The 13,744-nt window shown below is 50.2% G+C and overlaps 1 protein-coding gene across 1 annotated transcript in view, besides 1 other annotated feature; it reads left to right on the top strand.

Moving 5' to 3' along the window:
• Positions 1 to 13,744, top strand: part of FAM53A (family with sequence similarity 53 member A) — a 111,956-nt gene that overhangs the window by 88,069 nt on the left and 10,143 nt on the right. The window lies entirely within an intron of this gene.
• Positions 3,324 to 3,839: an enhancer, noted in NCBI's record as "H3K4me1 hESC enhancer chr4:1595837-1596352 (GRCh37/hg19 assembly coordinates)". NCBI's record gives its function as "activates a minimal SCP1, AML or CMV promoter by ChIP-STARR-seq in naive H9 embryonic stem cells {active_cell/tissue: H9 hESC(naive)}" and the evidence as "EXISTENCE:reporter gene assay evidence [ECO:0000049][PMID:30033119]".

Raw genomic sequence — 13,744 nt, 5'->3', positions numbered from 1 at the left:
TCTCAGCTCACTGCAACCTCTGCTTCTCAGGTTCGAGCGATTCTCCTGCGTCAGCCTCCTGAGTAGCTGGGATTACAGGCGCCCGCCACCACATCCGGCGAATTTTTGTACTTTTAGTAGAGATGGCGTTTCACCATGGTGGCCAGGCAGGTCTCGAACTCCTGACCTCATGTGATCTGCCTGCTTAGGCCTCCCAAAGTTCTGAGATTACAGGCGTGAGCCACCGCGCCCGGCTGGTCCTCAGTTCTTTGGGACGATGGGCTGTACCACCCAGGTGCTCCCTGCAGCCACATAGGGCTGGATGGGGCAGGAGGCACTGTTGGGGGGCCCCGGAGGGTTTGACTTCCCCTCTCAGGAACTTGGGACTGTTTAGGGACCCACACTGTGCTGGGTCAGTTCTGAGGGAGGGGCTGGGGGTCTGGAGCAGGCAGGGGGCACACCTGTGTGGGGTGTGTGGCTCTCCAGGGCCCTGGGCCCAGCAGCATGGTTCCTGGGCTCCTGCCTGGCCCCGAGGAAGAACCTGGTCCCCCAGTGCGTGTTTGCTGTGGGGTCTGAGTTGGGGGTAGACGTGGGGGCACGGGGCAGTCCTCAGGGCTCCCCTCACCTCAAGCTGTGTCGGGCCGGTGGGGTTCTGCTGGGTTTGAGTTTAGGATGGGCAGTGGTGGGGGGAGGAGCAGAGGCAGGGGAGTGAGGGGACCCTCGAGGGGGACCCCTGATAGAGAGCCAGGCGGCTGAGGGCCCTGCCGATGTCTGGCTGGAGCCCAGGGGTGCCCGGTGTCTGTGTTCTCCAGATGCCCTTGGTGTCTGGGGAGCCCAGGCCTGTGGGAAGAGGCTGGAGTCCCAGTGAGGGAAAAGAAGGCCCTGCCCCACTGGATCCAGAGATGCCAGAGGAGCTGCCTGTCCCCTCTCGGAGCCTTGGTGGCCTGGACGTTGAAGTAGGGGAGATGCGATGCTGGAGGGAGGCCCCGAGGAGGGTGCGGAGCTGCCCAGGGCGAGCCCCCGGGGGCCTTTCCCACCTGCCAGGGGCTGTCTCCCTCTCCTCCGTTTCTCCCTCTGTCTCTCTCTCCCACTGTCTCTGTCTCTCCCCACTCCGTCTCTGTCTCTTCCCCATCTCTGTCTCTCCCCTTGTCTCTGTCTCTCCCCTTGTCTCTGTCTCTGTCTCTCTCTCTCTCTGTCTTTCCCCCTTTTAAAGGAAGTTTCATGGGAGAAGTACAGTTGGGAATCTGGAAGCAACCCGCATGTACCGTGTGGCACGGCCTCGGTGGAGGCCACAGCAGCCCGCGGCGGGCGGACACCGTGTGAGTGAAAGAGCCAGTCCCTGAAGGTGCCCTTCCATCTGGTCCCTGTAGAGGGCATGCCTGCAGTGACACAGCTGTGGAAATGGAGGGCAGATGAGTGGTGTCCGGTTCGGGTGGTGTGGTGGGCAGTGGAGGGCCAGGAGGGTCCTTGAGGTGGGAACAGCGCCCACATCTGGACGGTGTAGCCAGCGTTGGGCGGTGACACTGGCCACAGCTTGGCAAGAGGGTACCTTTGGGGAAGGTGGGTGGGGGCGCACTGGATCTCTTTGTGTTGTTTCTCATAACTGTATGTGAAACTACAATTTTCTCAAAGTAAAAAGTTTAATTGAAAACAATACGTGGCTATAATAAAAAATCCGGACAGCATGGAATTATGTAGAGGGGACCTGCCAGCCCAGCGTCCCTCAGCCTGGCCCTGTGCTGCGAGGATGTGAGTCAGAACTCAGCCCCCACCAGACCATGCATGGTCCCTGGAGGTGGCCTGGTGATTCTGTGGGTGTGGCCTGGTAGTGGCCTTGGAGCCAACCCTCCCCTCGTCCCTCTGTCTCTGTGTGCACTTTTTGCCCAGCGCAGGAGCAGGGACCCTCATGGGCCACATCAGCAGGGAGAGGCAGCAGAGGCTGGACGGCCACTCTTGTGGCCCCACGTCTCAAGATGGTGGTGCTGGTCCCCATTGAGCTCAGCCGTGCCTTGGGCAGACAGTGACCAGGGGTCACACCCGGTCCTGTGGACCATCACTGAGCACCTGCACCACAGAGAGGATCAGACTGGCCTCTGGGGTGGGACTCTCCTCTGACAGCACAAGAGAGGAAGAGACAAAGGGCCCCAGTAGACCACAGATGGGCCTACCTGAGGCCTCTCAACACATCAGAGCTGGTGCCTGGACTGAGTTGCAATTCTGCTGCTTCCTCTCTGCCCGGCTGGACTGGGGACCGGGCCTGGCTCCTGGGAGCTGTGTGCTGGCGCTTCCCGCGGTGCTGGGTAAGCTCCAAGTGTCCTGCCAGGCTTTGCAGTGTCAGGAGGGGTCTGTGCACAGGACAAGGGCTGCTTGGTGCTGTTTTTTTGTCTGCCGTCTGTGCCACGATTTATACCAGTGGTGACTTCCCAGGGCTCCCACCAACCCCAGCCCCACCCCACCAGCCACGTAGTGTCAGTGGTTTCTGATGTGCCCAGCACCACCAAGCCTAGGGGTGGGGCAGCCCTGCTGTCCCCGGCCTGTGGTGGACCCCCAGCCTCTGCATGCCCCTTCTCAGCCTTCAATAGACAAAAGCCTGGGAGGGTCAGCAGGGCGCCAGGATGTGGGGAGCCTGTCCTGGCCACTGTCCAATGGCCACGCAGGACCATGGCAGCGTCTGTACAAAGAGGAGCCGGTGGGGCTCCTGCTGCCCGCCTTCTTGCACCCCTGCTGCTGGGGCCCTGTGGCCGTCCAGAGCCTGGAGGTGGGCGGGGGTCCCTGTGGGCAGAGGGACCAGTTGTGCGTTTCTGTCCTTTCAGTGGCTGCGGCTTCCCTGTCCTCTGACTCCTGTGGGAGCTGGAATCTGTGCCTCCCCGTCCCTGGCATGCTGGCACTGGCTGGGTCCCATGGTGCTTTGGTTGGTCCCCGATGAGCAAGCTGTGTCTCCATCCTGTGGGGGGATGGGGTGGCAGATGGCCCAGTGGGCCTGTGCACGGCTTTGCCTGGGGCCGGCAGTCTGCAGAAGGAACAGACTTCCCCCTCCACACCCGAGAGCTCCTTCCTGGCGGCAATGTATATTATGAAGGCAATGTGAACTTTGTAAAACTTAAGCACCTTACACATTTTTTTTTAAGAGACAGGGTCTTGCTCTGTTGCCCAGGCTGAAGTGCAGTGGCACCATCACGGCTCACTGCAGCCTCCAACTCCTACACTCAAGTGATCCTCCTGTCTCAGCCTCCTGAGTAGCTGGGACTACATGTGTGGAGCCACCACACCCGGCTAACTTTTGCATTTTTGCAGAAATGGAGTCTCCCTATGTTGCCCAGGCTGTTCTCCAACTCCCAACCCCAAGCAATCTGCCTGCCTTGGTCTCCCAAAGTGCTGGGATTACAGGCGTAAGCCACTGCACCTGGCCTAAAACTATTAAAGCATAGATCCACATTACCAGATTTTTGAAAAGAAGATAGAGAAGAGAACCCAAAATAATCATGATGACAGTAATACCCCCACCGTGGGGGGTGCCTTTTGTGCCTGCTTGTATACCCCGGGGGGCAGTGCCTCTATCATCCTTTTTTCATGAGGGGAAACTGAGGCTGGGGATTGTTAGATCCTGCCCAGGGTCCCCCCACAAGGAGAAGGGGACACAGGCTGGGGCAGGTGCTGGGTCCCTCCCCTTCTTCCACCTCCAGGAAGTCTTCCAGGCTGAGCCCTGACCTGGTGACCTGTGAATCGGTTTATCTGTCCGTCCTGCCTCCTGCTATGTGGGGCCGCTGGAGGCGGGGCCGCTGCTGGCTCCCAAGGGAAGGAGGGAATCTGCCCAGAAGCGGCTCAGGGACCTCGCAGAGGAGGCTCCGGCTTGGCTGCCCTGCTGGCAGCCTGGGGGGACCTGGGGCCCGCGGCGCCCCTCCCTGCAGCGGTCTCTGCTCACCCTTGGCCCCGGGAGCTGCCCCCAGCGGCCCCTGCTCTCCCTCGGGTCGGCCTTCCGCAACGCCGCCCTGCCCTAGACCGTATTTCGTGCTTGTTGGTGTCACAGACTTTGCCACGCAGGGTCAAGAGTTACCCTGCCCCGTCCTTTGTGTTCTAAATTTAATTGTTGCACTCCTTTTCTCCCTTAAAAAGATCAGTAAAAACTGTTAATTTGATCAATACTTAATTTTTTCACCCGAGCGCGCGTCTTCTGCTGGCCCGTGATAAGCTGGCGGCAGGGCAGAGGGACAAGTGAATTGTCAGGAATTTCTCCAGTCTCCCGCGGCCACTCCACCACTTAGAGCCGTGTAATTTATACCCCGGCAGCCGCTCTGCAATTACCCTGTCTATTGCTGTCGACAGTATCGCGCTATCTTTTAAATAGATCCGGCCTGGCTGGTCCAGACGAGCGTCCAGGACAAATGACGCCATCCCTCATCCCGCAAGCCCTAAAGAGATAAGTCCCTTAAAGAGGGGACCATTTATCAGCTGATACAAGCTGGATACTTACAAGCCCACTTCTTTGTTTGGGCTCTTTTCAGATTTCCAAAGCTATTGATCTACCGAGGGGGGAGCCGGGTTGGGGCGTGGGGCGCGGGGCGACTGTCAGGGGCGGCCCTGGGCCTGAGCTCACCCTACTCGGAGGGGCCCTGGCGTGGCTCCGGGCCGCGGTCCAGCCTCCCCTGGCCTGGGCTGAGCGCACCTGCCGCGCCGGCTTCCCTCCTGCGGGCGCGCGGGGACGTGGGTGCCTCTGCTGACTCCAAACGTCTGGGTTGCAGACCAGGCGCCTGGGCCAAGCCCTGGACCCGCGAGGCCGGTGTCGGGAAGGCTCAGATGCCCCCGGCCCCCGACCCAGGACCTGGTGCCTCTCTGGCCGCCACCGGCTCCCGCACAGGACGCCTGTGTCCCCGCCGGCGGAGAAAGCCCGACCCTCTGCTGCGCCCGCTCGTGCTCCGCATGGGCCCTCGGCCCTGGGCACTGGGGAGAAAGTGACCCAGCTGGGCTGGGATGGGGCAGCAGCTGCCCGAATCAGGGCCGGTTCCGTTGCCATAGGCTAGCCGGGCAGGGTGTGAGCGGCCCCGGGCCCCGCAGCCAGGACCTCGGCCATGTGCCCTGCAGACGCCCCTCCTGCGGGGCCCGTGTCTGGGGGGCTCCAGGCGTGTGCGGGTGGGACGTGGTGCCCGGCGCCCACTCAGGCGCCCCCGCGGCCGCCTCTCCTCCCTGTGGGCAGCGATGGCAGGGGCTGCCTGGGCTCTGCGGCGAACTCTGTTCCCTCCTGCTCCTTCCACCCAGGCCTCAATCACCTCCTTCCTTCCATGCTGTGAAGATCCTGCCCTCCCATCCCCAGGCTTCCAGGCTCTCCAGTGTCACGGCCCTGGGCTCACCCTGGCTTGGCCCAGGAGAGGGGCTGGGCAGGGGGTGCAGAACCGCGTGTCGGGGGCCCCTGGGTGTGGCCGGCGCCCGGGAGCCCTAGGGCCCCTCTCCTGCCCCTGTTTTCCCCCAGGAAGGACCGCAGCGCCCCCCAGCCTCCGGGATCCTGCCCCCTGGCCCCCTCGGCCTTGCTCAGGAATCCTGGGCTTGGGCCCTGCCCCTCCGGGACTTTGGGGGTAATCTGTGTGGTCTCGGCCTCGCGCCCTCCAGGCCTGCGCGCTCTGACGCTGCCTCCCGGAGCCCTCGCTCCGCCCACGGAGACTGATGGGGCCGCGTGTGGACGTGGCTGGTACGCGCCGTGCACAGCCGGTCATCTGTTTGGTCTTAATTTAGAAAACCTTCACGAGATTATTACGTGGCATTTTTTTTTCCCTGGGGTGTTTGATGGTATCAGGTGGGTTCAGAGCTCAGCCTCTCCAGTTTATCTTCCTCAGAGAGCTGCATTAACACGTAGGCACAGCGGCCCGACAAACCCCACAGAACAAATAGAAACGATCTTAGCAGCGTCTCTCTTTAAAAATAGCATCCATTTATCATCCAGCCGTATGGTGCTGGGCTCAGCCTGTGGTCTGGGGTGACCGACTGCTTTGGGCTTAAATATCCACTCTCCCGTTTCACTGTATTTAAAGTCTTCTCTTTCTACCCTGCACCCAAGAAGGAGGCCCCCAAAACTTGTGTCAGCAGCCAGAAAGGGGTGGGCAGCTGGCCTTCGGGGTGGAGCTTCCCAATTTGTAAAGGAAGGAGGAGCCCTGGAGGGTGACCTCCTGCGGCCCTCTGGGGAGTCCCTCAGCTCAGGGTCTCTGGGTTTCCTTCTGCTGCTAAGATCCCTCTCTGGGTCATGCTTTCCCTCCAGGGACTCCCAGGCCCCTGGATGGATCCCAAACTCACACCCAGAAGGAGCTGAAAGTAGGGTAGGGCCTCAGGCCAGACCATGTGCTCAGAAGGAACCAGGACCTACCTATTCCTTTGTCCACTCACAATAACATGAACTAGGGTATTTGATGTGCAGGTGGGCCTTGTGTGGGGTGTTGCAGTTGCTGTGGGAAACAAGACTGACTGCCACCCCATCCTGGCAGAGCTTACCATGCCATGGCCAACACTCTCTGTAGGAATGTCATGGGGTACATGTGCATGCGCATTCTCTCTCCTTCATTCCTGGCAAGTACAGGGGTGGCTGGCTTCTTTAGGTGCATCACAGGTCCCGGAGTGCAGAGTCCACAGTGTGTCCAGAGGGGGGCCAGCCTGCAGAAATAAACCCTAATGCAACAGTGAGTACAATAAATGTAAATGAGTTAGACTCAATGATCTGAAAGTAGAGACTCACAGGTTGAACGAAAAACAAACTGCTGCTGTATGCTCCTTAGAGAAGACACATTTTAAAGGAGAAAGGGCACAGAAAGATTGAAAATCAAGGGATGGAAAAGAGATACACCAGGCAAATATGTACACCCAAAGCAATGTGGGATAGCAATTCTAATGTCAGACAAAATAGAAATAAGGCCAAAAAATCACAAAAGACAAAGAAGAATATTAGGGACTAGTTCAAAAGAACAACAGACCAAGAACATAGAATGATTATATATATATATATATATATATATATATATATATATATATATATATGCATTAAATAATATAGTCTTAGAACATATAAAACTACAACTGAGAATATTACCAGGAGAAATATATGACTAAACTGTGTTATTTAGAATTTTCGACAAATTCCTCTTATAAAACAATAGATTAAATATACAAAAGTAAGTCTATTTAATTTGAATGGCATAATAAATTAATTGAATTACCTCTATTATCTATCAGTTTACACATCTCATGGAGAATACAGATTTCTTTTGTGCACACTTATTATTCACAAAAACAGGCCATGTGCTAGGCTACTGTATGGTCACCTTCAGAGGCAACCTACCCAAAATTTGTTTCAAATATTGGGAACGGATGGCTTCACACATACACACCAACAGGGCTTGAAATGGTTTGGATTGTTTGCATAACTGAGGTCTCTGAGGAGAGCAGGGCACGCCTCCCAAGCAGGTCAAGAATGGCTTGAGAGAGCAAGGAATGGAAAGGTTTTTATTGTGGTTCAGGGCTGGACCTGGGTGAGAGTTTTCATGTGCAGGCAGGGCCTTCTGTGGTTTGAATTCCCCACCAGCATCAAATGAGGGAGCACCCGGGCTTTCTTATCAGCTTGTCCAGATGTGGGGCACAGGAGAAAAGGGAGGGACACTTAAAAGCTGTTGGCAGCCAGACATCAAAAAATGGAGTCGGGCTGCTTATTTCAGCCACAAAAGAAAATGTGATAAATTTCAAAGAATTGGCATAATAAAGACTGTATCCTTTCACTATAATGCAATACAATAAATAAAAGAATTGTAAAAAAAAGGAAAGTCCAGATATCTGGGAAGAAAAATCATAAGTACTGAATACCCCTGGTTAAGGGAAAAATCATAAAGAAATTATACAACATTTAAAGCTCTGTGTGTCAGGAGCTGTGAGACATACCCAAAGCAGTACCTAGAGAAAAAAAATTATGATTTTGAATAAACTTATCAGAATACAAACAAAAGTCAAAAATAAATGAGCAAAGCATTTAACTCAATAGGCTAGAAAAAGAACTAAAGATATAGCTAAGGAAACAAGATGTAAATAAAGAAAAAGCAGAAATCAGTGAAATAGAAAACATTTTTAACATTAAAAAGTCAGAGAAGATTTTCAAAGTTAAAACTGGACCTTGTAAATATAATAAGACAGGCAATACTGATGACAAAGGAGAGAAGAAGCAAAGTAAATATAGAATAAAAATGGAAAATAATGGCAAAAATAATGAAGGGAAAATTATGAATGACTATACACTAATATATTCAGAAAGCCCAAATAAAACGAATACATTTCTGTAAAAATATAAAGTGCCAAATTGACACCACAGTAAACAGAAAATGTAAAAGACTAATATCCATTAGCTATTGAAAATTGAAATGAGAAAAAGAAAGAAATTGAAATGGAAAACAAATAATTCCCCACTAAAAATCTTCAAGAAAGAGAAATTATTTCTCATGCAAACTCTTCCAGAGAACAGAAAAAAAAGAAATGTCCTGCACCTCATTTTATGGGCAAGCAACACTCTTATTCCAAAATCAGAAAAGACAATTGTAAGGCCTTTCAATAAAAAAATTATAAATAAAATATAACCAACCAACCCCAAGTGTATGTTTCTAAAAATCATTATCAAATAGGTTTATTTCAGGAATGCAAAGATGGTTCAACATCAGAAAAATCTATTGACATGATTTACCTCGTGAATGGACTAGAGGGGAAGAATTGCATGATTATCTGTACAGATTAAAAAAGGATTTGATAGCACTGGATCTCTATTTATTGTTTAAACTCTCAGAAAACTAGTAATGGACAGAACATTTTCTTAACTTGATCAAAAGCTACCTATTTAAAGACTGACAGCAACATCACTATTTATTAGAAAAACTTTACACAGCATCTCCCATAGAAGCGAGTACGAGATAAAGGAATATCATGTCTATTTCTCAAATTCGTCACCAGGATGAATAGAATAAGATAAGAAAAATGCATAGGAAGTACTGGATTGGAAAGGGAGGAACACACTGCCATCATATGCAGATGATGTGATTACCTACACACAAAGCCCAACAGAATCTGCAGATACATCAATAGAACTTATAAAACGATTTAGCAAAGCTGACTGATACAAGATCATTGTATCATTGTCCATTTATGCATAATAAATTACTCTCAAGTTTAGCAGCTCAGAACAATAAACATTTATTTTTTCAAAGCATGGGAGCAGGCACTTGGGAGCAGCTAAGTTGGGTGGTTCTGGCTCAGGGTCTCTCAGGAAGCTGAGATTGAAGTGCTGGCTGGAGCTGAAGTCACCTGAAGGCTTGCCTGGGCTGGAGAATTCGTCTTGAGGATAGCTTCACTCATAGAAGACCTCATCTCCTTACTGGCATTGGTGGAAGGTTCTTTCCTGACCATGTGGACCTGCCCGTACTTGGATGTCCTCATGACACAGCAGGTGCCCCCACCCCCAGCAAGTGACCTGGAAGCCAGCAAGTAAGGAGGGCACCACAGGGCCTTTGATGTCCAGTTCTCGGCAGTCACGCACCATCATTTCTGCCACATTCTGTTCATAAGAAGAGATCACTAAGCACAGCCCACACTCAAAGCGAGTGGAATTAAGCTCCACCTCTTGAAGGGAAGGGCACTGAAGAATCTGGGAGCATATTTGTAAACCACCACAATTATCTTACAAACATCACTAGTGTTCTGAGGGAAAACAGAAACTGCAAATGGGGAACCACCACAACAGTGTTGAAACAATTGAGGACCTAGGAATTCACCTGAGGAAGGACGCACCAGACCCTATTTGGAGAATGGGAAAATCCCAGTCTGCTGAAAAGGCGGGCATGAAAGCAGAGCTGCATCACAGCCGCCGATGGCTGACTTAGCATTAAGGATGCTAGTATTCCCTGAATTAATCTGTAAATTAAATATAATTCAAATGAAAGATTTTTGAGAAGTGTAATAAACTAATTTTAAAATGTACATTGAAAAATGAAGATACAAGGACATCTTAGTCTTCGAAAAAGAGCAAAGGGAGGGGGAATTACCCTACATTTATTAAAATATTAAATATAAATTAAAATACAATCATTTAAAATTTATTAAAATTGCCTACGGTTATAAAATGTATTAAAACATGCTACAAAGACATAAAAACAGTACGCCAATGGCACTGGAACAAATAAATAATAAAACTGAAGACAGATTCCCCCTGATAAATCCATGTTTTTGTGGCAGCTTGATGTCACAGGGTGATATAATATGTCTTTGGAAAGGGAGGAGGTTTTTTTATTTTCGAGGCAGAGTCTCGCTCTGTCACCTAGGCTGGAGTGCAGTGGCGCAATCTCAGCTCACTGCAACTTCTGCCTCCTGGGTTCAAGCGATTCTCCTTCCTCAGCCTCCTGAGTAGCTGGGATTACAGGCATGCACCACCACGCCTAGCTAATTTTTGTATTTCTAGTAGAGATGGGGTTTCACCATGTTGGTCGGGCTGATCTTGAACTCCTGGCCTCAAATGATCTGCCTGCCTCGGCCTTTCAAAGTGCTGGGATTACAGACGTAAACCACTGTGCCCGGCCAGAAAGGGAAGAGGTTTTAAAAATGCCTACTGTTTTTAAGCAACAGGTTTGGGAAAAGCTTCATGACATTGGTCTGGGTAATGATTTTTTGGATATGACCCCAAAAGCACAGGCAACAAAAGAGAAAATAGATAATTGGAAGTATGTCACACTAAAAAGTTTTTGCACAGTAAAGGAAACAATCAGCAGAGTGAAGAGACAACCAGTGGAATGGGAGAAAATGGTTATAAACTGCCCATCTGATGAGGGGTTCATATCGAAAATATACTAGGAACTCAAACAACCCAATAGCAGGAAAACAAATAACCTGATTGAAAAATTGGCAAAGGACCTAAGTAGACATTTCTCAAAAGAAGACACACAAATGGCCAACGGGTTGTAAAAAGTCACCCAGTGTCATGAACAGTCAGGGAAATCAAAATCAAAATCCCAGTGAGATATCACCCGACACCTTTTAGAACAGCTACTATCAAAAAGATGAAAGATAACAAGTGTTGGTGAGGATGTGGAGAAAAGTGGAAAAGAGTACAGAGGTGCTTCAAAAAATTAAGAATAGACCACCACATGATTCAGCAATTCAACTTCTTCTTCTTTTTTTTTTTTTTTTGAGACGGAGTCTCGCTCTGTTGCCCAGGCTGGAGTGCAGTGGCGCGATCTTGGCTCACTGAAAGCTCTGCCTCCCAGGTTCACACCATTCTCCTGCCTCAGCCTCCCGAGTAGCTGGGACTACAGGCGCCCGCCACCACACCTGGCTAATTTTTTATATATATATTTTTTTAGTAGAGACAGGGTTTCACCGTGTTAGCCAGGATGGTCTCGATCTTCTGACCTCGTGATCCGCCCGCCTCGGACCCCCAAAGTGCTGGGATTACAGGTGTGAGCCACCGCGCCTGGCCTCAACTTCTGAGAATATATTGAAAGAAAATAAAATCAGCTTCATGGCTGGGGGGGTGGACCACCTGAGGTCAGGAGTTTGAGACCAGCCTGGCCAACATGATGAAACCCCGTCTCTACTAAAAATACAAAAAATTAGCTGGGCATGGTGGTGCATGCCTGTACTCCTAGATACTCGGGAGGCTGAGTCAGGAGAATCGCTTGAACCCAGGAGGCAGAGATTGTGGTGAGCCGAGATCGCGCCACTGCACTCCAGCCTGGGCAACAAGAGGGAAACTCTGTCTCAAAAAATAAAAAAAAAATCAGTCTCACCAAGAGAGACCTGCACGCCCATGTTCATGATAGTACTATTTGTAACAGCCAAGACATGGAATCAATCTAAGTATCCATTGACAGATGAATAAAGGAAATGTGGTCTATATACACAATTGAGTACTACTCAGCCTTTAAAAAGAAGGAAGCTGGGTGAGGTGGCTCATGCCTATAATCCCAGCACTTTGGGAGGCTGAGGCGGGAGGATTGCTTGATCCCAGGAGTTCAAAGCCAGCCCAAGCAACATGGTGAAACCCTGTCTGTACTAAAAATACACACACACACACACAAATTAGCCAGGTGTGGTGGCGCATTCCTGTAGTCCCAGCTACTTGGGAGGCCAAGGTGGGAGGATCACCTGAGCCTGGGAAGTCAAGGCTGCAGTAAGCCAAGATTGCTACTGCACTCTAGCCTGGGTGACAGAGTGAGACCCTGTCTCAGAAACAAAGAGAAGGAAATCCTGTTATTGACAATGTGGATGAACATGGAGGACCTTATGTTCAGCAAAATAAGCTAGGCACAGAAAGACAAATACTGCGTGATCCACTCATGTGTGGACTCTAAAGAAGTTGAACTGAGATGTAGAGGGTAGAGACATTGGGCCGGGTGCAGTGGCTCACACCTGTAATCTCAGCACTTTGGGAGGCCGAGGCAGGCAGATCATTTGAGGCCAGGAGTTCGAGATCAGCCTGGCCAATGTGGTGAAACCCCGTCCCTACTAAAACAAAAATTAGCTGGGTGTGGTGGCATGCGCCTGTAATCCCAGCTACTGAGGAGACTGAGGCAGGAGAATTGCTTGAACCTGGGAGGCAGAGGTTGCAGTGAGCCAAGATTGTGCTACTGTACTCCATCCAGCCTGAGTGACAGAGCAAGACTCTGTCTCCAAAAAAAAAAAAAAAAAAAAAAAGAGAGAGAGAGAGAGAGTAGAGACATTATTAGTCAAAAGGTACAAAATTTCAGTTATTAATAGATTGGAAGAGTAAGTTCAAGAGATCTACTGTACAACGTGTGACTATAATTAATCATATATTGTGTTGTTGAAAGTCATTGAGAGTAGATTTTGTGTTCTCACTACAAAAAATGATAAGCATATGAGGTTATTTAGCTAAATTTGTTACTTAGCTAAATTTAGCCATTCCACAATGTATGCATATTTCAAAACATCATCTTGTACATAGTAAACATATATAATTTTAGTCAGTTAAAAAATTAATTAATTAAAAAAACAAGTCTGCAAATACCATGACATTCCTCCCACTGAAAGGTGAAGTCTGTCTCCTCTCCTTAACTCTGGATTGGCCCTTGTGACTTACATGTAACCAACAGAATGCAATGCAAATGACACTGCATGACTTTCGAGGCTAGGTCAGAGAAGGCCATGCAGCCTCTGCCTGTCCTCTTGGGACACTTGCCATAGGGGCAGCCAGGCACAGAGTAAAAAGTCTGACTGTCTCAAGACCGCCATGCTGGAGGGGCCACATGTAAGCATTTGTGTTGACAGCCCAGCCAAGCTCCCAGCTGACAGCCAGCCTCCATTGCCAGCCACGGGAGTGGCCAATGGGGACATCCAGCCCAGGTGGCTCTAGCCCCAGCTGACATCCAGGTGCAGCCACATGCCACTTTCTCTCTTCCCAAATAAGAGCTGCCCTTGCTGAACCTTTCCCAAGTTACTCATGCTCAAAAATGTGAGCAAATTAAGATACTTGTTTTAAGATGCAAGGTTGTAGAATAATTTGTTATGCAGAAATAGTAACTGCAACATATAATGTTGGGAAAATTGCCTCACTTTATGGAAAATGGAAGGCAGGATCCCTACCTCATACCATATACAAAGAGAAACCTAAACATAAGAGATTCAGGACCTAAATGTAAACGGTAAAGCTGTAGGCTCATAGGAGAAAATGCTGTGGAATTTCTTTGTGACCTTGGATAGGAAAATATTTCTTAAGCAAGACTCCAAAAGAACAAATCATAAGATG

Source organism: Homo sapiens, chromosome 4 (genome assembly GCF_000001405.40).
Source record: "Homo sapiens chromosome 4, GRCh38.p14 Primary Assembly".
Taxonomy (NCBI): domain Eukaryota; kingdom Metazoa; phylum Chordata; class Mammalia; order Primates; family Hominidae; genus Homo; species Homo sapiens.
Note: the sequence above shows the minus strand (reverse complement) of the source record. Positions and strands in the feature narration are given on the sequence as shown.